The 27,194-nt window shown below is 41.3% G+C and overlaps 3 annotated features.

The window, feature by feature from the left end:
* Positions 9,176-9,315: an enhancer, noted in NCBI's record as "active region_17896". NCBI's record gives its function as "activates an Ori minimal core promoter by ATAC-STARR-seq in GM12878 lymphoblastoid cells {active_cell/tissue: GM12878}" and the evidence as "EXISTENCE:reporter gene assay evidence [ECO:0000049][PMID:35858748]".
* Positions 12,916-13,060: an enhancer, noted in NCBI's record as "145 bp enhancer 172 fragment used in the MPRA reporter construct". NCBI's record gives its function as "activates an SV40 promoter by MPRA in K562 cells {active_cell/tissue: K562}" and the evidence as "EXISTENCE:reporter gene assay evidence [ECO:0000049][PMID:23512712]".
* Positions 12,983-12,993: a transcriptional cis regulatory region, noted in NCBI's record as "NFE2L2 motif; enhancer activity is reduced when this motif is scrambled". NCBI's record gives its function as "necessary for full MPRA enhancer 172 activity {active_cell/tissue: K562}" and the evidence as "EXISTENCE:site-directed mutagenesis evidence [ECO:0005528][PMID:23512712]".

The following is a 27,194-nucleotide window of genomic DNA, read 5'->3' as shown; positions in this document are numbered from 1 at the left end:
TGACAAAATTCAACAGCCCTTCATGCTAAAAACTCTCAATAAATTAGGTATTGATGGGACATATCTCAAAATACTAAGAGCTATTTATGACAAACCCACAGCCAATATCATACTGAATGGGCAAAAACTGGAAGCATTCCCTTTGAAAACTGGCACAAGACAGGGATGCCCTCTCTCACCACTCCTATTCAACATAGTGTTGGAAGTTCTGGCCAGGGCAATCAGGCAGGAGAAAGAAATAAAGGGTATTCAATTAGGAAAAAAGGAAGTCAAATTGTCCCTGTTTGCAGATGACATGATTGTATATTTAGAAAACCCCATCATCTCAGCCCAAAATCTCCTTAAGCTGATAAGCAACTTCAGCAAAGTCTCAGGATACAAAATCAATGTGCAAAAATCACAAGCATTCTTGTACACCAATAACAGACAAACAGAGCCAAATCATGAGTGAACTCCCATTCACAATTGCTTCAAAGAGAATAAAATACCTAGGAATCCAACTTACAAGGGATGTGAAGGACCTCTTCAAGGAGAACTACAAACCACTGCTCAACGAAATAAAAGAGGACACAAACAAATGGAAGAACATTCCATGCTCATGGGTAGGAAGAATCAATATTGTGAAAATGGCCATACTGCCCAAGGTAATTTATAGATTCAATGCCATCCCCATCAAGCTACCAATGACTTTCCTCACAGACTTGGAAAAAAAACTACTTTAAAGTTCATATGGAACCAAAAAAGAGTCCGCATTGCCAAGTCAATCCTAAGCCAAAAGAACAAAGCTGGAGGCATCACGCTACCTGACTGCAAACTATACTACAAGCCTACAGTAACCAAAACAGCATGGTACTGGTACCAAAACAGAGATATAGACCAATGGAACAGAACAGAGCCCTCAGAAATAATACCACACATCTACAACTATCTGATCTTTGACAAACCTGACAAAAACAAGAAATGGGGAAAGGATTCCCTATTTAATAAATGGTGCTGGGAAAACTGGCTAGCCATATGTAGAAAGCTGAAACTGGATCCTTTCTTTACACCTTATACAAAAATTAATTCAAGAAGGATTAAAGACTTAAATGTTAGACCTAAAACCATAAAAACCCTAGAAGAAAATCTAGGCAATACCATGCAGGACATAGGCATGGGCAAGAACTTCATGTCTAAAACACCAAAAGCAATGGCAACAAAAGCCAAAATTGACAAATGGGAAGTAATTAAACTAAAGAGCTTCTGCACAGCAAAAGAAACAACCATCACAGTGAACAGGCAACCTACAGAATGGGAGAAAATTTTTGCAATCTACCCATCTGACAAAGGGCTAATATCCAGAATCTACAAAGAACTCAAACCAATTTACAAGAAAAAAACAAACAACCCCATCAACAAGTGGGCAAAGGATATGAACAGACACTTTCAAAAGAAGACATTTATGCAGCCAAAAGACACATGAAAAAATGTTCATCATCACTGGCCATCAGAGAAATTCAAATCAAAACCACAATGAGATACCATCTCACATCAGTTAGAATAGCAATCATTAAAAAGTCAGGAAACAACAGGTGCTGGAGAGGATGTGGAGAAATAGGAACACTTTTACAGTGTTGGTGGGACTGTAAACTGGTTCAACCATTGTGGAAGACAGTGTGGCGATTCCTCAAGGATCTAGAACTAGAAATACCATTTGACCCAGCCATCCCATTACTGGGTATATACCCAAAGGATTGTAAATCATGCTGCTATAAAGACATATGCACACGTATGTTTATTGTGGCACTATTCACAATAGCAAAGACTTGGAACCAACCCAAATGTCCAACAATGATAGACTGGATTAAGAAAATGTGGCACATATACACCATGGAACACTATGTAGCCATAAAAAAGGATGAGTTCATGTCTTTTGTAGGGACACGGATGAAGCTGGAAACCATCATTCTCAGCAAACTATTGCAGGGACAAAAAACCAAACGCCGCATGTTCTCACTCATAGGTGGGAATTGAACAATGAGAACCCTTGGACACAGGAAGGGGAACATCACACACCAGGGCCTGTTGTGGGGTGGGGGGAGGGAGGAGGGATAGCATTAGGAGATATACCTAATGTAAATGACGAGTTAATGGGTGCAGCACACCAACATGGCACATGTATACATATGTAACAAACCTGCACGATGTGCACATATACCCTAGAACTTAAAGTATAATAACAAAAAATGGAGATCTTCCAGAAGCATATCATATATTACTCTCTGGCTCAAATTTTCATTATTTTGACGATATTGACTATTTTGAAGTAGTAACAATATATAGTTTAAAAGGTCAACCAGGAGGGCAAGATTTAAAAAAACAGGAATCCCCTATATTTTCTTTCACTTCCCAACTCCCAATTCCTGCTTCCTTTCCTTCTATGTTTCTGAATAAGCATATGATGCTACTTCAGTGACATATGTCATTCCACATAATACAAATAATTATACAAATAGTCCAAATAATAATGATACCCATCACCCAACTTAAGAAATAAAGCATTAAATCTACAGTTTTAGCTCTGTGTTACCCTCCTTGAGTTCATTCCTTCCTGCCAAAAGGGAACCACATCCTGAATTTGGTATTTGTTATTCCTATACATATTTTTATACTTTTGCTATTAGGTTGCTGCAAAGGTAATTGCAGTTTTCGGGCCAGGCGCAGTGGCTCACGCCTGTAGTCCCAACACTTTGCAGGGCCGAGGCAGGCAGATTGCCTGAGGTCGGGAGTTTGAGACCAGCCTGGCCAACATAGCGAAACCCCGCCTCTACTAAAAATACAAAAATTAGCCGGGTGTGGTGGTGCATGCCTGTAATCCCAGCTACTCGGGAGGCTGAGGCAGGAGAATCGCTTGAACCCGGGTGGTGGAGGTTGCAGTGAGCCGAGATCGCACCACTGTACTCCAGCCTGGGTGACAGAGCGAGACTCTTATCTCGAAAAACAAAAAAGCACCAGCCTAATAGATATATGTCTCTATTGTAAAATATATATTACTTTTCATGTTTTTAAGTTTTATAAAAATGGTAAATACTTTCTGAAACTTGTTTTTTTAACTTAACATTATGTTTTTGACAGTAATTCATAATGACACATCTAGCTGTGGTTCATTAATTTCTTTTGTTGTACATTAATTTCTTTTGTTGGTTCATTAATTTCTTTTTGTCTCATTATATGAATATACCACAATGTATGTACCCATTTGCCTGTTGGTGGACATTTGGGTGATTTTTCTCTTTTTTTATTGTTACAAACAATGTTACAATGAACTTTCTTGCAAATGTCTCCTCTTGTACATGTTAGGAATGGTAGTGCTGAGTTGCAGGACATAAGCACCTTGAGCTTTAGATATTGCTTGCTGAGTCTCCAAAGTGCTCTTGCCAATTTACACTTACTTCTGCAGTGTATGAGAGTTCCCATTGCTCCATCTGGCTACCAACATCTGAAATTGTCAGACTTTTCCATTTTCCCAATTGGATGGATTTAAAATGGTATTTTATTGTGGCTTAGTGTGCGCTTCTCTGATTCTTCATGAGATTATCTTTTCATATATTTATTGTCCATTTTGGTTTCTTATTCTAAGATTTACCTGTTTGACTTTTACCCATTTTCCAGTTTTTTTTAAATTATCGATTTATGAGTTATTTATATGTTCTGGATTCAAATCCTTTGTCAATTATGTATATTGCAAACATTTTCCCCCAATCTGGAGTTAGATATTTCTTTCTTCTTCTTTTTTTTTTTTTTTTTTTTTTGTAAAGATGGAGTCTCACTATGTTTCTCAGGCTGGTCTCGAACTCCTGGCCTCAAGCAATCCTCTCACCTCAGCCTCCCAAACTGCTGGGATTACAGGCATGAGCCACCATGCCCATCACCTTTTCACCACGTTAATGATGGTTTTCAGAACTCAGGTGTTTCTAATTTCATTGATGTTAACTATCAACCTTTTTCTTTATGAGTTGTGTTTTTTGTATTTTAGTAAATCTTTAACCTAAGAGCGTAGATATATTCCCACATTCTAAAAGTTTTCTAACTAGGTTCCTGAATTCCACTTGGAATTTTATTTGGTCTGAGAATTCCAATTTTGTTTTATTTTTTCTATATGAGTAACTAATTACTCATCACTTTTTGAAAAGCCTATCTTTTCTCCACTTACCTGCAATGTTGCTGTGTCATTTATATCAGATATCAATCTATGGGTGTGTTTTTGGGCTCTGTATTCTGTTCTGATGGTCCAGTTACATATCTTTGTTTCAATGGCACCCTTTTATTTTTCTTTTTTTCTTTTATTTATTTATTTATTTTTTTTGAGACAGTGTTTCGCTCTTGTTGCCCAGGCTGGAGTGCAATGGCACGATCTCAGCTCACCACAACTTTGGCCTCCCGGGTTCAAGTGAGTCTCCTGCCTCAGCCTCCTGAGTAGCTGGGATTACAGGCATGCGCCTCCAAGCCCAGCTAATTTTGTATTTTCAGTAGAGATGGGGTTTCTCCATGTTGGTCAGGCTGGTTTCGAACTCCCAGCCTCAGGTGAGCTGCCTGCCTCAGCCTCCCAAAGTGCTGGAATTACAGGCGTGAGCCATGATGCCAGGCCCATACTGCCTTAATTACCATACTTGATATGTCTTGTTGTATCCTAGGGTGAGTCCACCCATTTTCTACTTCTCACTGTGTCTTATCTGTTCTTATACATTTCTATTTACATTTTAGAATCAGCTTAAGTTCCAAAGAAATGTTAGAATGTTGATTAGAACTGCAGTAAAGTCGGCTGGGCACAGTGGCTCACACCTGTAATCCTAGCACTTTGGGAGGCTGAGGTGGGCAGATTGCCTGAGCTCAGGAGTTCGAGACCAGCTGGCCAAACATGATGAAACCCCATCTCTACTAAAATACAAAAAATTAGCTGGGCGTGGTGGAGCGCCTGTAGTCCTAGCTACTCGGGAGACTGAAGCAGGAGAATCACTTGAACCTGGGAGGAGGAGGTTGTGGTGAGCCGAGATCGTGCCACTGCACTCCGGCCTGGGTGACAGAGCGAGACTCTGTCTCAAAAAAAATAATAAAATAAAATAAAAAGAGAACTGCAATAAAATCTATATATTCCTGTGGAGAATTGACATCTTTATGATATTACATTTTTATGTCCACGTTCATAATATGTTTTTCTGTTTATTTAATAGGTTATACTTAAGATTTTTTCATCACTTTCTAGAATTTTTTCATAAAGGTTTTAAACCTCTTTTGTTAGCTTTATTGCAAGGTACTTTATCCTTTCTTTCTTGACGTTATAAATGACATCTTTTTTAAAATTGTATTTTCTGTGTCTGAACTGCTTGAAAACAATTGAATCAATTTGCTAAACTCTCCTATTGATTCTAAAAGCCTTTTTGTCAATTATCTTGGCTTTCTCTATGTAAACAATCATATAACCTGTGAATAATTACATGGAAGTGATGTGAGTCATATGCAATAGGCAAAATAACAGCCCCCCAAAAATGTTCATGTCCCAATCCCCCAAATCTGTGACTATGGTACTTTACATGACAAAATGGACTTTGTATATGTGACTATATTAAGGATCTTAAGGTGCAGAGAGGTTTCTGGATTATCCAGGTGGGCCCAATGTTCTCAGAAAGGTTCTTTTAAGGGTGACGCAGTTTTATTTCTTTTTCTTGTCTTCACTGGCTAGGCTCTCCAAATACAATGTTGGATAGAAAGGTATTAGAGGACACCTTTGTCATCTTCCCGATTTCAAAGTGAATCCTTTTAAAACTTTATTATTATGCATTCTATCTGATGTAAATTATTAGAGGGTTTTCATCAAGTTAAAGAAATTTCCTACTTCTAGTTGGCTAAGATTGTTTTTAACTTAACTGCTAAGTTTCATCAAATATTTGTTCCGTGCCTATCAAGATAATCATGTAGATTTTCTCCTTTAGTCTATATTGTGATGATTTATATTAATACATTATTTTTAAGTTGGATTGATTTTGCATTACTAAAGTAAGACCAGCTTGATTCTGCCATATTCAGCTTGCTAACATTTTCTTTAGAACTGTTGTGTCTGTGCTGATGAGTGAAAGTGGCTGTAATTACCTGTCTTCTATTGTGCTCATCTAGTTTTGGTTCAGAGTTATATAGCCTGTACTTCTATTTTGGTTGATTCTTTTCACTTTAGAAATTCCTGTAAACATACTTCCACTTGCCTTTATTTTCCCATATATATTATAGTTTCTGTTTCAGTCAATATTTCACATTATCAGAATTACATAACTATTACATGCTATCGAGCCACATGATATATTTATATATCCTTTCCTGCACAACTTTCGGACTTAATAAATAGCCTCCTTTTTCTTTTCTTTTCTCTCTTGCTTTGTTTGTTTGTTTGGGGCTTAGTTTCTTAAAACTGCCACACAAAACTGTAAATCTTGTCTCAGTACACTGAAATATTAGGAAACTGACCACGTGCATGTTTTTCATGGAGAAATCTCTCCTGGAGATCTCTTGTTGTTTTTCTCCAACCTGGATCTCTTGTGCTCTATGCCTACTTCCAGCAGTTTTGGGGGGACTTCCTTGGACTAACATTCTTTATATTCTTTTTGTTTCTTTCCTGTATTGGAATCTGTGTTTCCATGGTTTCCATGATTTCCTCTATTTACTGGCTCTTTTTGGTGGAGTACATTTTCTCATTTTGAGAAAGGGTAGGTGGAAGATAAAATTTTTGAGGTCTAACTTGTCTGAGTGTGTCTTACTTCTGCTCTCTCATATATTACTTTGTCGAGTCTAGAATTCTAGGTAGTAACCTTGTTCCTTCAGAATCTTAGAAGGGCTATTGTCTTCCATTTCCAGTCTTGCTAATGAGAACACCAACGCAATTCTGATTCTTAGTTTTTGTATGTGAGCTATTTTTCCTGCTGTTATGATAGTCTTTATCTCTGATGCTCTGAAATTTCACATATGCTTTGGAGTAGTATTTTCTCCCTCATTGCACTGGACTGTTAGGCCCTTTTAATCTGAAAACTCACATCCTTAATTCAGGGAGACTTTATTATATTATTTGGGATGTGTGTGTGTGTGTGTGTGAAAGAGAGAGAGAGAGAGAAAGAGCGAGAGCGAGAGAGAGAGAGAGAGACTTAACATACAGGTAATTTAAGTTATGAAACATAGTAAAACAAATTCCCAAGAACCTAGCACCCAACTTAGGAGATGGAACATGACCAATGCCTTGAACCATTGTGTACTGACTTTTCCTAATCTCATTCCATCTTCTCCCTTGCCTGCCATGCCTCGCCCCCTACCAGCTACATAATCACCCTCATGACTTTTTCCCCAATTATCTTGCTTCCTTTTATTGCTTCACTAAATATGTATGCATTGCTAATCTATACCTCACTTACTTTTGCTTGATTTTGAACGTCATAGAAATGGCATTGCACAGAGAGAGCACTCTTCCATGGTTTGCCTTTCATTCAGCATTGTTCCTAAGAATTACCTATACACCTGGTTCACTACCTTTTTATTGCAGCGTAGCAGTCTGCTGTGTGAAGATACCACAATTTAGTTATGTATTTTCCCAACAACAGGCACTAGGTTATTCCCTCTTTAAAAATTCTATCTTGTCTACAAATGTGATCATTTCTTTCCCTCGTTTTCTCTCTTCTTTGTGAAACTTAGTTATTAGATCTTCTGGTCTAAGCCTTGAATTTTCTTACCTTTTCTTTCTTTTCATTTTCTGTTTCTTTATATTTTTCTTCTACTATCTCAGAGAATTCCTCAAATTATATTTTAATTCATCCGTTGATTTTTTAAGATTTCTGCTATCATATTTTGAATTTTCCTTTTTTTCAACATTTATTTTGGATTCATGGGGTTCATATGCAGGTTTATTACATGGGTATATTGTATGATGCTGGGGTTTGGGTTACAGATGATCCTGTCACCCATGTTGTGAGCATATTACCCAATAGATGGTATTTTGAATTTTCAAGAGCTTTTATTCTTTGGATATTCCTTTTTGTGTGTGTGTGAGACAGAGTCTCGCTCCTGATGCCCAGGCTGGAGTGCAGTTGCACGACCTCGGCTCACCACAACCTTTGCTTCCCAGGTTCAAGCGATTCTCCTGCCTCAGCCTCCCAAGCAGCTAGGATTACCAGCATGCGCCACCGTCCGGCTAATTTTGTATTTTTAGTAGAGACGGGGTTTCTCCATGTTGGTCAGGCTGGTCGCAAACTCCTGACCTCAGGTGATCCGCCTGCCTCGGCCTCCCAAAGTGCTGGCATTACAGGCATGAGCCACCATGCCCAGCTATATATTCCTTTGTATAGCTTACTATTTCATAGTTTTCATAGATACCAGACTTACAAGGTTTAGGATTTTCTTGAAATTTCATTTTGCTTTCTGCAGTCTGTTTTCCTCTACTGTGGCTGGTTGGGTGGTTGGTTCATTTATGCCTCTGTCTTTCATGTTAAAGCTCCCCTCTGATGTCAAGTGATGCTAATCTACCTACTCAGACATAATAGTAAAGGGACCAAAATGCTAATTTCGAGTTCTGTGTGTATGGGTGAGGCTCATCTGCCAGTGGACTTCACAGTAGGCTGATCAGGTGGGGACCCAGCTGTTTCACTGGAGAAACCTATGTTAGTAGGTCTTTTCTCTTGGCCTAGTCAGTATCCCCAGAGGAATCTTCCATTCTTCTTCCTGGAGGCTATAAGCTCTGCCATCATGCTGGCTGCTGAGCAGGGAAGGCGAGTTGGAGGTTTTGCCATCCACAGGTAGGTGTCCATTTAGTGCCCATTTTCAGTATAGTTCCCTGTTCTCAACTGCACCTGACATCCCCAAACGCCAGCATCTCCTCATTTGAACGTCCCATCCCCTCCAGCTATAGGGGGGATAGTTGCCTGGCTTGTGTAGAAATGGGGTAGACATCTGGGAGCCTCACTGCTTCCTCAAACAGATAGCCAAGATGTCTCTTCTATTTTTCAGCCCCACCCCTTGAAGCTTTGTCATTGTCTGGGGTAATACCCGAGGTTCATTGCCCCATGCCAAGGAAATAAAGGACACGGACACACACAAGGAGTGAGTTTAAGAGTGAAGGTTTAGCGGCCGGGCGCAGTGGCTCACGCCTGTAATCCCAGCACTTTGAGAGGCTGAGGCGGGGAGATCACGAGGTCAGGAGATCGAGACCATGCTGGCTAACACGGTGAAAACCCGTCTCTACTAAAAATACAAAAAAATTAGCCGGGCGGGAGGCGGAGCTTGCAGTGAGCAGAGATGGCGTCACTGCACTCCAGCCTGGGCGACAGAGCAAGACTCCGTCTCAAAAAAGAAAAAAAAAAGTGAAGGTTTAATAGGCAAAAGAAAGAGACAGGAAAATAGCTCTCTCTTCTGCAAGAGAGAGAGGCGCCCAAGCGGAACTTCTGGCCTGCGGCGGAGTGCACAGGGTTTCATAGGCAGGCTTGAGGAAGCGGTGTCTGATTTAGAAAGGGCCCTAAGGTTGGTTGGACCAAGTGTGATGTTTATATCGCATGTGGGGAAGCCGGCCACCCCACCCTAATCTTCTTTATGCAAATGGAGTCTTTGTCTGCCCGGGGCCATGTTGTCTGCTCCCGACTGCACACGTGGTTGGCAAGCAAAAGGGAAGATGGAGTCATCATTTTGAACATACCTGGTCCCCAGGTAGCCCCTTTCCTATTGCCACAATGGCCAGCATTCACCCATGCAAGCTTCTAGCCTGCCTTTCTATGTCTGCAGCTTGATTTTACTGGCTGCTCTTTGTTAGAAAAGAAAATGATTTGGAGGCTGCTTTTCATTAAAAGGAAAAGCTTACCGAGGACTTCCTTACCCTTACTATCTGCCTAAATAATTCCTTTTTAACTGGTCCATCACACTCATCCCCATCTTCAGGGATATTTCAATAGGGATACTTCAGTAAAAAATCTTCTAGCTTCTTTTCACTGGGTACCACCCCCCTTTTTAGGTTTAAATTTTAACTTTCTCTGCTCTTCTAAGTAAATTACCACTGACTTAATTGATCACCTTCCAAAATTTTCTTGACATTCATGATCTATTTCTATATCCTCTCTAAAACTCTTTGTCCTTATACATTTATGGTTTTATTTGTTATCATTTCTCCACTGTCATTTTGAGGCTTTGAGAGAAAGAAGATATAAAGGCATATGTTTTTAATGTCGCTACCCATGAGGCAGAGATGTTAGAAGGTGGGCAACTACCTGAGGGGAGAAGCATAAGAAACTGCAGGCAGTCTGTGGGCCTCACTCGATGTCTGCAGCAGCCTCTGGTTTTCAGGGGCCTCCATACCACTGGCCGACTGCCTGACACAGTCAATATTCAGTTATGTGGCAAGTCAAGAGGAATTGTCTGCATGTGTGTTCTGACCAGTGACACTTTCACAAAAAGCAGCTAAGGAAGGTGCTGTTGAACTGGGGAAAGAGAATCCAGCTCAGAGCAAGCAAAAGTCTATTGGAAAAGCATTGATTGCCAAGATCTGGATAAACCTCTCCCACATCATTCCCTCATTACTGGAGTTAAGGCTGGGGAAGAAGGAGAGGGAGGCAATCTTGAGTGCTATTGAGAAATAGCCCAGCATAGCAGAGTTCACAATAGCAGCCCCAGCTCGGACTCCCGGAGTCAAGGTGGACATGACTCCAGGACCTGAGGTTGAGTTCCTGAAGGAGGAAAACAGCAGATTTCCCATCCCCAGTCAGAGGGATCCCCAAAAGGGCAGGACTTGGTTAATGACTACACCCGCTACCTTGCTTCCAGTGTGGGGCAGAGAGCCCCAAACAGGAGAGCTGTGTCTCAAACAGGATAAGTTGCCTGCTCCCTTGCATCTAGCAAACTCAGGGCAGATAGGGCAGGTTCTGAATGAGGACAGTGTGGTAGCTCCTGTGCACCCAGGGCTCTGTGACGTGGGGTTGGGGCATTTTCTCAGAGATAACCAGAGAAGCCCCCATCTAGAAGGGGAGCTGAGCAACTCCACGTGGAATTTCTGAGGAACGGACCCCTGATTTGATGTGAATGCTCACCCCTTTCTTCTGATGCCCAAGCTGCAGTCATCCTGAGAGATAAGTCATGCCAGACAGGAGTCAGAAAATGGGAGAAGGGCCTGGAGTAGCTCTTGTCCTCCTGAGTAAGCAAGCCAGCTCCAGTATAGCTGTTGCTTTTTTTTTTTTTTAGAGACAGGTCTCTCTCTTTTCCAGGCTGGAGTGCAGTAGCACTATCGTAGCTCAATGCAGCCTCCACCTCCTGGACTCAAGCAATCCTCCTGCCACAGCCTCCCAAGTAGCTAGGACCACAGGTGCTCACCACAACACCAGGATAATTTATTTTTTTTTTCTACTTTTTGTAGAGATGGGCTCTCCCTATGTTGCTCAGGCTTGTCTTGAACTCCTCGCATCAAGCAATCCTCCCACCTCAGCCCCACAGAGTGCTGGGATTACAGATGTGCGCCACCTCACCTGACCAAGCTGCTTTTGTTTTCTACAGAGTGGCAGAACCCACATCAGTGAGGAAATTGTTCACACAACTGTCTTTCCACTCATGAAGTTGAGTAAGGGAGGGAAGAAGGAAAGACTTACGGCAGACACTGTTGGTGCCTCGCCCATAGCCCCTTTAGATCCCTGGACCATTTACTGTGTCCACCAGCTTCCCATGCGCCTTCACACCCAACAGCCTGCACCTGCATCTCTTGGTGAAGAGCCTGGAAATTAACATACCCCTGGGACAGCCCTTAACAAGTGACTGACAAACATACGAATACAATCCTCCAGCTCTTGCTCCCTGGTGGGGGTAACTGGAAGGTGTCTGCTGAGTTCCCAGGAGAGACTGAGCCAAAGCAGCCCTCCCCGGACTCTGCCTGCTGCCGTTCCTTTGCCTGGCCTTCTTTCTCTCCTGGTCCCACTTTCCCGCCCACTCCCAACTGGTTTTTTCTAGGAACACTTCTTAAATAAATAATTTTTATAGGAATCCTCTTCTCAGAGTCTGCTTCCAAAAACTCAACCTAAGACAGCCTCCTATTTCAGAGTCCTTGCTGGTTCATTGCTACTAAAAAATTGAAAAACCAGGTAGCCCTTTGTTTATCAGTCACGTTAAGGATGCTGTGAGTGTAACAAGGTAGACTCCGAGGTGAGGAAAGGATGGAGACTTCAACTGCTTCTTTAAATTCAAGGCAGAGAACTGGGCCTCTGAAGGGAACCTGGAGTGGTAAGGAGAGGAGGGAGCTGGGAGTGTGTGGTGGAGAAGGGCTGGGCAGGGTGTGAAAGCTGTCTGTTGCACCGAGCCTTCAGCAAGGCTGCTGCTCACACAGACTGTGTGGGTGTGAGGTTTGGGGCAAGGGTATCCAATGAAAAGGCTGCTTGGGATGCTGCAGTGCAGAACAGAAGAGCGGGATGGAAAAGCAAAGCAATCCTCCAACTGAACTCAGTCCGTGGCAGCAGAAACTCTGAGCCACCGAACTGAACTCAGTCCGTGGCAGCAGAAACTCTGAGCCACCGAAGGACATTATCCACCATGAGCATGCCACACCCACCCACTCCCACCCCCCTCACACACCAATCCACCAAGAGGTTGAAAAGAATAAAATATGTCCCCTGAGATCTGGATTATGCATGCAAATAATCAACTTGAAATAATTACTGAGGGGTAAGTTCTCAAATCATCCTAAGAAACTATCCAAAGGCATCTATAACCCTAAAACAGGATTTCCTAATGATTATCCATTAACAGGATCCCACAGCAAACACAGGAGTTAATGGAAGGTGGGTAATGCAATTAGAAAGTGAATTCCACACCCATAATGCCATAATTCGGGGCTTAGAACACAGCATCCAGCATCCTTCCCCCTACCTATGACCTGAGCCCCTTCCCTGCTCCCCCAGCCCATAACAGAGCCAGCATAGCCTGGGACTTCCTCCCTTCTCCCCGACCACTGGTGACTCAGCAGCCTGTGCTGATAGCCCTGCTCCTGCCTGCCCTCCCACTCCACAGCCCTGCTGCTAGCTGTCCCCTCCGTGTGGCCTGGGTCCTAACAGTGGGTGCTCCAGGGCCGGTGAGTTCTAACGAAAACAGGGAGTGGGGGACCTGCCTTTGAATCCACTCTTGTCTCTGACTCTTTCTCCCTTTTGAATCTTTATTGCACAGACATTGATTCATCACATACCACTCAACAGTCTCTGTCCCTGTCTCTGTTTTTGTTTCTTTCTCCATCTCTCCCTGACTCCATTCCTGCCTCCCTCCTTGTCCCTTCCTTCCTCTGTCTCTCACCACATCTTCCTTTCCCTCTGCCTATCCCTTCTCCCAGTCCTGGCCTCTTTAAATTAAATTGGTCTATGTCTCTGAAGACAGATGACACAGCAAATTTGGCAGTGCCCACAGAAACTCACGTTTCTCAATATAGTTTGTACTAACACGTTCACTGTTTTCTGCTATTATAAATAACCGTGTAATCAACATTACTTTAGATCTCTATCTACATATCTGATTAATTCCTTCAGGCTGCTGTACTCCCTAGATATGGCATTGTTAAGTCAAAGGGTACAGACATTTTTAAGACTTATTGCAGGTATATTTGGAAAAACACTTTTTACAGCAATGTCATACATGTAACTGGACTTCTTTGAGATCATACAATTTCAGATTTAAAATGGGGTCATGTGTTTTTCCAGGGTCCCTGAAGACATTCACATTCTGAATATCTCTGCAGATCAAGTGGTTTCTTAAGGACCTAATCCCCTTTCTGCAAACTTCAATATTAATGTATCTCTCAATTTGTTCATCAACACATGTGCCAAGCCTAGTAATGACCTTGGACCACACCTTGGCGATTTAGAGCCTTTCCAGAATCATGGGCGACTCCGTCCTTTTTATGGGCTCAATTTTAGTATTTGGTATTTTTAAAATCAAAAATAAAATGGAAGTTTTTAAGTACTATGAGACAGAATGTGATCAAAGATCATTCCACCACCCATTTGTTCTTTACCCAGACAGTACCAAGCAACGTTGAACACTCACCTACACCGCCTTCAGTCTCTGTTGGTTGAGACTTCTCCTTTTTTAAAATATCTAAACAGCTTCAGATGTCCTGTAATTTTTAGAACACTTCACTGCTTCAAAGAAAGGAGGTGTCTGGGCCTCTTTTACTCCTCTCCTAGGGTAGAATTCGTGGGCCATGGTGCCCACCCATATTCTTTTACCTCATTTAAGATAGGTTGAATGGACTGGCCCCTCTTTATTACCCAAAGACAACATGAAAACAAGCATTATGTTTTTCACTTGCTGCAATATATGCTCACAGATCTTGGTGTAACTTGCTCAATAATCACAATTTTTAGCTGTAAGACAAGTGTCAAGGCAGGTGTTTTTTAGCTCCTCAAAGTTCTCCCAGAACATTTACGTCCACTTGGAAGTTCATAATCTAATGTGGGATACAAGCACATCAATCAGATAATCATAATATAGTATAATAACAGCTTTTAAGCAGTTGTACTATAGGTGGGATTTGGGGGGGAGAACTCAGAGAATAAAGGGCAAGAGACCTTGAAAGCTATGCATCTGGCAGCTACTGCTGCATAACAAACACTGCAGCAACCTCAGTGTTGAACAATACATATTTGTAAGTTTCTCATCCAGGTGACTGGAGGTTTGCTATGCATTGACTCTGACTTTGTCTAGGCTTATACAGGCTGCACTCCAGGCCATGTATTTGGCTCAAGTCTGTTCCATGCATTTGGGGCCTCCTTGTACCTGTGGCTACCTGGTCATCATGGCAAAAAATAGGCATGCAAGAGACTAAGCCCAACATGCAAGCACATTTTAAGCCTTTGCTCACATCATGTGTACTAACATCCCATTGGCCAAAGTAAGTCACATGGAGAAGCTCAAAGTCAAGATGAAAGGAAGAACATTCCTCCATGGATATGTAGTGAGAAACAGTGAATATTTGCTGAATAATAATCTAATCTACCATGAACCAGATCTTGAAGAACCAAGGGGTATTTGTTCTTCTCTAGAGAAGTGGAATATTCTGTTCCTTAGGAAGGACCACATCAGGAAAAGCAGACAGATACAAAGATGCAAGGTACATTTAGGAATTGTGGGTGACTCAAAGGGCAGAAGCTTAGGACACTTGTGACAGATGTTGAGGACACGTAGCAAGCAAGCTGAGGCAGGATCTCAGGGTTGGAGGAAACCCAAAAGGTCTAGACAACTTGGGGCACAGTAAGAGTCCTGCCTCCTTGTTGGTTTTTTTTGTTTTTGGTTTTTTATGGTTTTGTTTTGTTTTGTTTTGTTTTGTTTGAGACACAGTTTCACGCTGTCGCTCAGGCTGGAGTACAGCGTGCAATCTTGGCTCACTGCAACCTCTGCCTCCCAGGTTCAGGGGATTCTCCTGCCTCAGCCTCCTGAGTAGCTGGGACTACAGGCATGCGCCACCACACCCGGCTAATTTTTGTATTTTTAGTACAGACAGGGTTTCGCCATTTAGGCCAGGCTGGTCTCCAACTCCGGACCTCATGATCCACCTGCCTCTTCCTCCCAAAGTGCTGGGATTACAGGTGTGAGCCACGACACCCAGCCCTTGTTCGGTTTCCAGGGGACTCCTCCCCTATCTCTTGAAGTGTCTACTACCTGGTGAGGGGGAAGAAACTTTCATCAATCCTCTACGTTCTCTAGGCAAAAACATTACCTTCTCTTCACCATCCAAGTGTAGAACCCTACTAACCCTCCCTTTCCTCATCGCTTCTGCTACCCAGCATAGCATGTAATAAATCCTTATGGTATATAATCCAGAATGTGTAAGCAGCTGGAATTCTTTCCTGAAAATTATTTTTTTCTGATAAGGCATATTTATTGAAAGAATGACACAAAATGGTGAATGTTAAAGATCTACTGCCTGTCTCCAGAAATAGCCACACTTCACACTTCCAGATTATATGTAATATAATTACATAAATGGAATCATATTTTCTGTGGTTTAACCAGCTGTTTGATATCAACTTAAAACATCACCTATCACATTCTTTTTCATGACTGTGTAGTATTTTATTATATGGCTATGCCATCATTTATTCAATCCATCTCCCAATTTTAACCACTAGAAATAATACTCTAAAGGCTATCCTTGTAAATACATCTTTGTTTGCTGATCTAGTTAATTTCCCAAGTGTAAATTGCTAGAAGTACAATTTTTTGTTCAAATGTATACCCATTTTAAGTGTTCATACATATTGTCAAATTGCCTGCCAGATGGTTGTACCAACATGCATTCTCAGTAGTGGTGTCTGAAAGTGGCTTTTACTCACACACTCAACAGCGCTGGGTATGTAACACATTGTTGATATGAACAATTTTATCTCATTTCTTATTATAATAGAGCAATGACTTTTTTATTTCTTTGTAAAAAAATTTGAACTAGAATTCTCTTAGCAAAGCTATCAATAAGTATGAGGGTAGACCATCGATATTTTAGGAGAAAGGAATTATTAAAGATAAAAGCTAAGATGTCAAAATAACCAGACTTGATAAATAAAACTAAGCTTCTTCTTTAAAAAGACGAAAATGAAGAAGAAAAGGAAAAACTACTGTTAAGCATAAGCAAAAATTAAGAAATAAATCACAAGTAACACAATGCCAGGGCTCAGGAGTAGGGTCTTTATCTCCACATATTAAGAATAATTAAGCTATTTGAAAATTTTATGTTAAAATTGATGTTAATATACCTGAACATTTACCTAAAATGAATGGTATCCCATAAAAATATAAGCTCCTAAAATTGATTCTAAGAAACCTATATAGGCTAGATGCAGTAGCTCATGCCTGTAATCCCAGCAATTTGGGAGGCCGAGGTGGCAGGATCTCTTGAAGCCAGGAGTTCAAGACCAGCCTGGGTAACACAAAGAGACCCTGTCTCTACAAAACATGTTTTAAAAAATCAGCCGGGCATAATGGCAAGCACCTGCAGTCCTAGGTGCTTGGGAGGCTGGGCCAGGAAGATCCCTTGAGCCCAGGAGTTTGAGGCTACAGTGAGCTATCATAGTGCCCCTGTACCCCAGCCTGAGTAACAGAGCAAGTACATACCTCTAAAAACTAAAACAAAACAAAAGGAACCTATACTAAAATCCATTGATAAAACTGAAAATGTAAATAATCTATGCCCCTAGGTAATTCTGCCCCAGATGGTTTTATGAGTAGGTTCTAGGAAATCTTATTAAAAATACCATTTGTATGTTGTTTAAACTAGATATTTAAACTAGCATCAAAAAAGATCCAATTTCATTTTATAATGCAAAAATCTAACCAAGCACTTGCTGGTATGAAAGTCTTAAATAAAATATTAGTAAGTCATACCAAGCAGTATATTAAAAGAGTTATGTACCATGACCAAGTAGTGTTTATTTCAGGAAGAATGATTGGTTCAACATTAAGAAATCTTTGTTGAACTAAGCATCCTGTAATACATCAGATAGTGAAAGGAAAAAAACCATATGATCATCTCAATATATGCCCAAATGCATTAATTAGAGTATAACCTCCATTTCAGATGATGATAATAATGACAGTGATGACAAAAATAATGATAAACACCTTACTAAGCAAAGAACAGAGGGCCCAGGGACACTTTTTAAAATCAGAAGCCACAAGCAGCAAACTTAATGGTAAAACATTAAACAAATACTGGAGGCGTTTCTATTAAATGGGATGCTCACTATTATTGCCATTAATCAAAATGTTTCTGGAGTCTCAGAACAGTGCCATTAGGTAAGAAAAAAACAAAGGAAATACATATTAAAAGAAACAGCAAATTATTTGTATTTTCAGGCTACAGTCTTTTCTTCTTAGAAAATCCATGAAACCCAACAGAAAATATTACTGAAATTAATAAGAAAGGTCAATAAATTGGTTCAATACAAGAAATATAAATCTATGACTTTCTTATATTCCAAAAATAGCCACTTAGTAAATTGTACTAAAAAGAACTTCCATTCATAATTGCAACAATAACTGTAAATAACTGTGTGTAACTATGACCAGAAATACAGAAAACTTACATGAAGAAAATTCTAAAATATTCCAAACAAGATAAAAAGTTGGAGAGGTATACCACATTACATGGTATAAATATGTTAGCTTTCCCTGAATCACTTTATGGATTTAATACAGTTGCAGTCAAACTACCCAGGGGATTATTTTTGGAACTTGAAAGACTGATTCTTAAGTTGTCTACAAGAATGCATGCGTGCAAAGCGTCACGAAATTTTTGGGTGGGATCATAGCCACACAGAATAAAGACTACATTTCCCATTCTCCTTTGCAGCTAGATGTGTTCATGTGACTAAGTTCTGACCAATGGGAGCATTTTGTTGCGCATCCAGAAATCTTTAAGAGACAATTTACATATACCCTTTCTCCTTCCTCTTTCTCTAACCTGCTACATGGAACGTGAAGTCTGAGGATGAAACTGTGCAGGCTGGACTTTCAAGATGTTCACATTCTAGTAATGGCAGAGCAGAAAGCTGGAAGGAGCCTGGGTTCCAGAGATTTTCATGAAAGAGAGAAACCACATCAGCTCCAGATTAACACGGAGCTTAACATGAGAGAGAAATGAACTACGTATCTTATTTGAGCCATTGTTATTTTGGGCTTTCTTTGCTCATAGGTGAATCTAATACTATTAAAATAACCCTTCGTATTTCCCCCCATGCTTATATAATTATTTTCAGACCTATACAAACAAACGTACACACACATAAGTTTTATACAGTTTTCTGTCATTGTTTTCTGGGAGAAAAAAAAAACCTTTCTTCATCTTGTTTTTTCTCAGTCAATACATTGTGAAATATTATCCATGTTCATTGGTATAGCTCTAATTCATGGTTTTCATTTTTTGTTTGTTTTGAGATGGAGTCTCACTCTGTCGCCTAGGCTAGAGTGCAATGGCAAGATCTCGGCTCACTGCAACCTCCACCTCCTGGGTTCAAGCAGTTCTCCTCCCTCAGCCTCCCAAGTAGCTGGGATTACAGGCACCTGCCACCACGCCCGGCTAATTTTTGTATTTTTAGTAGAGATGGAGTTTCACCATGTTGGCCAGGATGGTCTCGAACTCCGGACCTCAGGTGATCCACCCGCCTCGGCCTCCCAAATTGCTGGGATTACAGGTGTGAGCCACCACACCCAGCGTAATTCATGTTTTTTGATGGCTTCAAAAAAAGTATCAAAATGTATGCCCTTATTCTCCCATTAGTGGGCATTAGCTTTCTTTCTGGGTTTTTTTTTCCCCTTCACAATTAACAAGCAATACATCTACATCCTTGCATACTGGTGCTCTTGTTTCTAAGAGATAGAATCCTAAGAGTAGGCTAGCTGGGTGAAGGATATATTAATTTTAAATTTTAATAGCTATTACTAGGCTTTCCAGAAAGCCTGCATCACTTAGATTTCCATTGGCAATGTATGAGAGACACTTTGCTACATCCCCACCCGCAATAGCTCCTTTTTACTTTTTTGCAGTCTGGTGGACATAAAGTGGTGTTACCTCAATTTGCTTTTCCCAGACTATTAATCAAATCTGACAATATATTACTCCTATGTCTTCTTTTCATAATTATCATCCATTTATTCCTTCATAGAACAAGCTCACTTTATTCAATTCAAACAAAAACCTATGGGATTCTAAATGGAATTACAATAAATTGATATATAAAATTTTTGTATTATGCCTTCCCATCCAAGAACATGGTAAACTTTTTATTGGGTTCTTTTATGTCTTTCAATAAACTTTAGAGTTTTTATATAGTTTTTCCTGTGCCTTTCCTGTTAAATATATTCTTAACTATTCTGTAGTTTTTGAGGCTATTATAAACATTTTCCCATCCCACTTCTAAGTATTTATTGATAGACTAAAGAAAATATATGGATCTTTTTTGTATATTTACCTTCTAACAAGCCATCATCAAATTATCTTATTCATATACTCTTTTTTTTTCTACTGAAACCTCTTGCATTTTCTTGTTAATAACAACAGAAAAAAAGGAGTAGGTTTAGCTCTTTATTTCCAATATTTATGTTAGCCATTTCGTTTATTTTTGGCATTTTCTAGAACCTCCAAGACGATGATAACTAATAACAGCCCATGTTTCTTATTTCTTATTCCTCTCCTTCAATTGCTGGTGTTCCTACACTTCTATCCTTGATTGGACCTCATCACATCTTACTTAAAGGCAAGAATAATGTCTACTTTGCCAACACTCTATCCCTGGCTTTCAGAATAGTGCTAAGCACATACTATAAAAATGAAAAATACATATATATATTTCAAGAAGGAGGAAGTGGCCAAATGTTGAGTTCAGCTAAGATCAAATAAGATAAGGATTCAAAAACATGTTTTTGATTTAGCAACAGGAACGTCATTGATAAACTTAGTGATAGTATTTTAATGGTAGGGGCAGAAGCCACAGAACGAACATTAGGAAATAAGGTCAGCCAGGCCTAAGGGGAATTTTTGTGCAAATATTTGAGGGCCTGAGCTCCCCTAGTGCTTATGGGATACCGAAAAACCTTTCAGCAAGGCTGGAGCTTATGGTACACATGGCAATGAGCAAGAGTCATACTAAGCACTGTGCTTTACCCTGGAAGACATAGACAGCTGTGAAAGAACTGTAAAATAAAGAGTTATAGCATTAGGGTCACTTTTTAGAAAGAAAATAAAGTACCATTTCTTGAATTCACTCACCCATTTTTCTCCATTCTCACTTGCATTGCCTTTCCTTGGATCACCCCATCCACCCTCTCCACACATTTGAATTGCTGCAAACAACTTCCGGGTCTCCTTCTATTCATTCTCATCTCTCTTCAACCCATTCTTCACACCAGCTTCCACAGTCACCTCTGCTTTGTTATGATTTTCTTTCCTTTTGTGTTTCAAAGTAATATTTTCTAGATTTCAAATCTAATAATACAATTTCTCTGCTTAAAACACGTTATTAGGAGTCAGTAAAGAACTACCCTGACTTCTATATGATGCGGGCTTCCCAGGTGAGTTCCCAGGGATATCTGCTTCCACCCTTTGATTGGCAGAATATCTACCTGAGGAGTAATATGTTCTTGGGGCTCCTAGGGGGAAACTTAGTTTCTGCTCTAGTGAAACAAAGCTAAATGAGATCCAATGACCATCCTTTGAGGCTTAGGGGTACAGATTTCTTCCTCAAAACTGCTTTTCAACTCCACTCTAAAGCCAGTTCAAATGGTCCTAAAAGTAACTGTGCTTGTCCCATTCCTTTGCTGTATGTTCCCTACAGAAGGCCCTGACAGTCTTATATCTGCTAAGATAAGAGGATAAGTTCTCTGAAAGTTCTGGTCTGTAGATCTGTGTCTGAGAGAGGAACCAGGCAGATTTGGATAGGGTTTGGGGAAGAGATTCCTTCTCAGAAGACTTCACATTCCAATGAGTTCAAGGCTGAGATTCAGTAATAATAAAGGTGACTATGATATGATAGGATGGTTTTGCTTCCATATATTTTCTCCCTTTTCCTTGAAGCCTGGTGCCTCATGAGGCTGCGATATTGGAATGAGCTCTGAAATCATGTAAGTCAAGGTTGGGAAGCAGATGACACTTTTTTTTTTTTTTTTTTTTTTTTTTCTGAGACAGAGTCTCATTCTTGTAGCCCAGGCTAGAGTGCAGTGGAGTGATCTGGGCTCACCGCAACTTCCGCCTCCCTGGTTCAAGTGATTCTCCTGCCTCAGCCTTCTGAGTAGGTGGGATTACAGGCATCTGCCACCATGCCTGGCTAATTTTTGTACTTCTAGTAGAGACAGGGTTTTGCCATGTTGGCCAGGCTGGTCTCGAACTCCTGACCTCAGGTGATCCGCCCCCTTCGGCCTCCCAAAGTGCTGGGATTACAGGTGTGAGCCACCGTGCCCAGCTGACACCCTTTTAACATTTCAAGAGAAATAAATCCATTTATATAGCAAATACTTGTATGTGCAAGACATTGTTCTGGGTGCTAGAGATACTGCAGTGAGCATGACAATCAGAAATCCTTACAATTAAGGCACCTACATTCTCATGGCAAGAAGGGACAGACAATAAGTAGGTAAAATGTACAGCACATCAGATAGTGATCAGTGCTATAAAAAAAAAAAAAGGAAGATGGGGTAGACAGTCTTATAAGGGAAAGGGGTTTGCCATAGAACGGTCAGGAAAGTCCTCCCTGACAAGTTGACATTTGAGCAAAGACCTAAAGGAGTCAAAGGAATGAGCCACATGGCTATCTGGGATCAGAACATTCCAGGGTAAGAGAAAAGCAAGTGCAAAGACCTTGGGGCTGGAGTATGCTGGTAGCTTCATGAAACTCAAGGAGGTCCATATGGCTGGAGTGGAGTGAGAGGAAGAGTAGCAGGGGATGAGGTCAGATAAGTAATGGAATCAGATCACGTAGAGTCTTATTGGCCATTACAGCACTTTATCTTTTACTTCTTGTCTCACCAATGGTAGAGGTGGTGGTGAGACTTGTCAGATTCTAAGTATATTTAGAAGTTAAAGCTGATGGAATTTGCTTATAAATTAAATGCAGGATGAGAAACCAAAAGATTGGTCATGGATGACTCCAAAGATTTTGGCCTGAGCAACCAGAAGCATGGAATTGCTATTTGCTGACTTGAGGGAAGATACAGGATAAGCAAGTTTTAAAGAAGTCTGGAATTCAATGTATTCTTTTTGAGATGCTACTAGACACCTAAAAGAGGATGTCAAGCAGGCAGTTAGATGTATGAGCCATAAGTTCTTGGGAGAAGCCTGGGTTGGAGATCTAAACTGGGGAGTGTTTAAAGCCATGAGGATTGGATGAAGTCACCAGGAAGTAACTGGATATGGAGAAGAGTACCAAGGATTGAGCCTGGGGAAATTCAACATTTAGATGGGGAGATAAGGAAGAGCCAACAAGGAAGACCAAGAAAGAGTAGTTGTTGGAGTGAAAAGAAAACCAGGATAATGCAATGTCATGGATGCTAAGCACAGAAAGTGTTTCCAGGAGCAAAGAATCATCAGCTGCCCAGGATGCTGCAGAGAGGTTATAATAGTCAAGTCAAACTAGATGCTGAAATAGAGACATCCCCATATCTCAGTGGTGTCAACAACCTAACTTTGTTTCTCATTCATGTGAAGTATATTCAGCAGCAGAGGGGAAGGATGAAAGGAGGGAAACAGCAGCTCTCTGCTCCATGACAGCAGTCAGGGTCTTATGTTGATCCTTATCTTCAATTTGTGGCTTCCAAGGTCACTCTATCCAGCCAGTAAATGGAGGTGAGAGATGAGGATGGTGCATTGGTTAGAGTCTGGCAAGAAACAGAGGACACACTCAAATTTGAGAAAGGTTTAATAAAGAGATTACTTATAAAGGTGTGAGCAGGGGCAGGAAAGCTATCAAAGGATTTGCTATAACCCAGAGATGATTGACAGTAGGAGCTTTTACCACCCCTGGGTCTGAAGAGGCAAGAGAAAATAATGGTTAGTGGAATTGGGAGAGAGGAAGAGCTATGTGGGGTGAGATGCCTAACTGAAGCTTCAGTAAAGGAAGTGGCCAATTCAAAGCAACCCTAAAGAGAGGAAGCCAAGGGAATAAGTACCCTGACCTCATTCTCCTTCTTCCTCCCAGTCTCCTACAGATACCTCTGATTGACTTGACCCAGTCAGAAACCAGAAGGCTCATTGATAAAGTATCTAGTGGTTAGGCTCCTAAGGCAGGAGTAGAGTGGAAAAAGGTGAATAGAGGAGGGCAGACCTCCAGCACAGAAAGGTTTTGTGGGTCAGGCTTGAAAGTTACATAAATCCCTTCCACCCACATTCCACTGGTCAGAACCCAGCAATATCACCACACCTAGCTACAAATAAGTCTGGAAAATGTGATCCAGCTGGTGCCCAGGAGAAAGAAGAGACTTGGAACAGCTAACCTCTCTCTACCACGTGGTCAAGAAAGATGAGAACTGAGAATTGACCATGGATTTAGCAATATGGAGGCAATTGGTGATCTTGATAATTCAGTCTTGCTAGAGTGGTAAATGTGAAAGACTGATTGGAGTGGGTTCAAGAAAGGATGGGAGGACCAGGTATGGTGGCTCACGCCTGTAATCCTAGTTCTTTAGCAGGCCGAGGTGGGAGGATCACTTGAGCTCAGGAGTTCAAGACGAGCCCGGGCAACATAATGAGACCTTGTCTCTACAAAAATAAAATAAAATAAAGTAGAATAAAACAAAATAAAATAAATTAGCCAGGCATGGTGGTGGGTGGTTGTAGTTCCAGCTACTCGAAGAGCTGAGATGCAAGGATCACATGAGCCTGGGAGTTGAGGCTACAGTGAGCCAGTGAGCCGTGATCATGCCACTGCACTTCCCACACACACGGTGGGGAAGAGTCATGGAGGTCTTCTTCAGCCTGGGCAACAGAGTGAGACACCGTCTAAAAAAAAAAGAAAAGGAAAGAAAATAAGAAAGAATGTGAGAGGAAGAATTGGAGGCAGCAATTGTTAAAAACAGCAACAACGACTTCTTTCAATAGGTTTTGCTACAAAAGGAAGCAAAGCAATGAGGTAGTAGCTCGAATCATTGTGAGATAAAGAGTTTTGCTTTTGTTTTTTTCCACAATAAAGAAATAGCAGCATGTTTTTATGCTGATGTGAATGTTCCAGTAGAGAGAAAAAAACTGATGATTCAGGAAAGAGAGGGAAAAATGCTGGAGCAGTGTCCTTGAGTAAGCAAGAAAGAATGGGATCTAGCAATAAGTAAAATGTTGGCCTTGGAAAAGAACACAGGTAGTTAACAATGAAAACTGAATATATGGGACGGGCGCGATGGCTCACGCCTGTAATCCCAGCACTTTGGGAGGCTGAGGCGGGTGTATCACAAGGTCAGGAGATCGAGACCAACCTGGCTAACATGGTGAAACCCCATCTCTACTAAAAATAAAAATAAAAATAAAAAAAATTATCCGGGCATGGTGGCAGGCGCCTGTAGTCCCAGCTACTGGAGAGGCTGAGGCAGGAGAATGGTGTGAACCCGGGAGGCGGAGCTTGCAGTGAGCCAAGATTGCACCACTGCACTCCAGCCTGGGCGACTGAGCAAGACTCTGTCTCAAAAAAAAGAAAAAGAAAAAAAAGAAAACTGAATATATGGACAGAGCCCTGGCAGGAAGTAAACGTGGTGGGGGAGGTTGTTGACGCTCTTTTCTAATGACCCGTATTTTCTCAGTGAAACAAGATGCAAAGTTATTAGCTGAGAGTGAAACTATGGGAAGAATTGTTGGCGGTTTAAGCAGAAATGAGGAAGTACAACATATTACCTAAAAGAATGTGAGATTGCTACCCAGGAGTTAATCGTCCCTGCGGAGAGGGTCCAGTTGCCTCTGAGTCCACTCAGCTGGGGCACTTCAACCATCAGCTTCTTTAACTCCCCACTTTCTCCCCTTAGGGGACCAGTTGGAATCTATTAGCCCCCTTGATCCTCACATTCTCACTTGGAGCCAGTTCATAAAGTTCATAAGGCCACAAAGAGAGAAATTTGGTAACATTGCTAACACGTATCAAGAGCTGGGCACATCCCATACTAAGAAGGTTAGGTACTATCACTTCCCTGTACTAGCCAGGTGAAGGCCTCCGGCCCTGCCTTTTTTCCTCAATCTGTAGACCTCTCCTTGTCCTAATCCAGCTTCAGAACTGAATAATAATAATAGATAACACGTGTGAGCACTTACAAGGCACTACTCCAAACACTTCACATTTATTTAATCATAATAATTCTATGACATAGGTACTATTGTTATCAACCTCATTTTATAATGAGGAAACTGAGGCACAAGGTAAGTAACAGAGTAGGTACCTAAGCTGAATTTGAACTCAGGCAGTCTGGCTCAGGGCCCATGCTCTTAACCTCTACATACGTATCTATATGTGCTGAACGTGTCAGAGTGATAAACACTCCAGGGAGCTGGGCTTGGGCAGAGTAAATAAAATTTTAGAAAGACTGCAGTCAAGTAGGTGGGGATGAGTCTCTGTGCTTGAGAGAGGGTTGGTGAGGGATTGCTGCTGACAGAAGAGTGACCACATGGTGACCCAGAAAGCCTAGTATCAAAGGGCAGAGCCAATATCAGTACAAAGACAAGTTGAACAGGCTGAAGAAGACCTTCATGAATCTTCCCCACCCTGTGTGTAGACCCTGCACCAATCAGCATAGGATGCTCGATTTAATCTTGATTTGCTGTTCTCCTGGCTTTCATATGTGTTTCCCTTGTTTCCATGATATGGGAGCATATGCTATGATGGGAGCTACAATCATGACATGGTAAAATGGTTCCCAATCAATGAACACTTCATCAATGAACAATAAACTTTATGAAGAACTTTATCAATGAAAAAATCTATCAATGAGTGCAGAACAGGGCATGTTACTGACATTATGTAGTTTAATGCTTATAACACCACTGTGAGTTACACAGCATTATTCCCATATTCAGATAAGGAAAGGGAGGCTTAGAGAGGTTGTACTGCAATACCAAGGTCTCATAGGTAATACATGGTAGAGGCGGAGCTTGAGCCCAAGCTTGCTTAGAGTCTGAAGCCTGTGCTGGCTACACTGTACCAGCTGCCTCTCTATTTTGAGATAAAGCACCAGGAGCACTACAGAACCCCTCAGGGCCCCCAAGGGCCTCTGGGTCAGGGCTCCTGGGTGAGAGGGACTCCCTTTAATGAAGGCAATTGAGAAACAATCCTCCTCTTTATTTGCCTGTAACAGGGGCTCAGAAAAGCTAATTATCTTCCTGTGAACCAGTTAACTATTCAATTTTCTCCATTTGGGTAATTAATTATCAGAGTCAAATGCAGGATCCAGCTAATCTTAGAACCATGCAGCTGTAGGGTCATCTGGGGAACAAGCTCATTTGAGAAAGGAGGAAGGGCAGGCGCCAGCATTTGACATGGCTTAGAGAGAGGGGGAGTGTTGAGGGACCTCGGACTGGCTGGAGTGGAGGGTAGGGAGAATGCTTAAGGCAGGCTGGCTGGGATTCCCTCAGCACCAGATAGCAGAATAGTCAGTGTCCAAACACAGGAGGACAAAGATGCTATTGCAGCTGCCAGTCCCATGTTGGAGTATTGAGGAGGGGGGCA

Source organism: Homo sapiens, chromosome 20 (assembly GCF_000001405.40).
Source record: "Homo sapiens chromosome 20, GRCh38.p14 Primary Assembly".
NCBI lineage: Eukaryota > Metazoa > Chordata > Mammalia > Primates > Hominidae > Homo > Homo sapiens.
The sequence above is the reverse complement of the archived record's forward strand: the minus strand, read 5'-3'. Positions and strand labels throughout refer to the sequence as shown.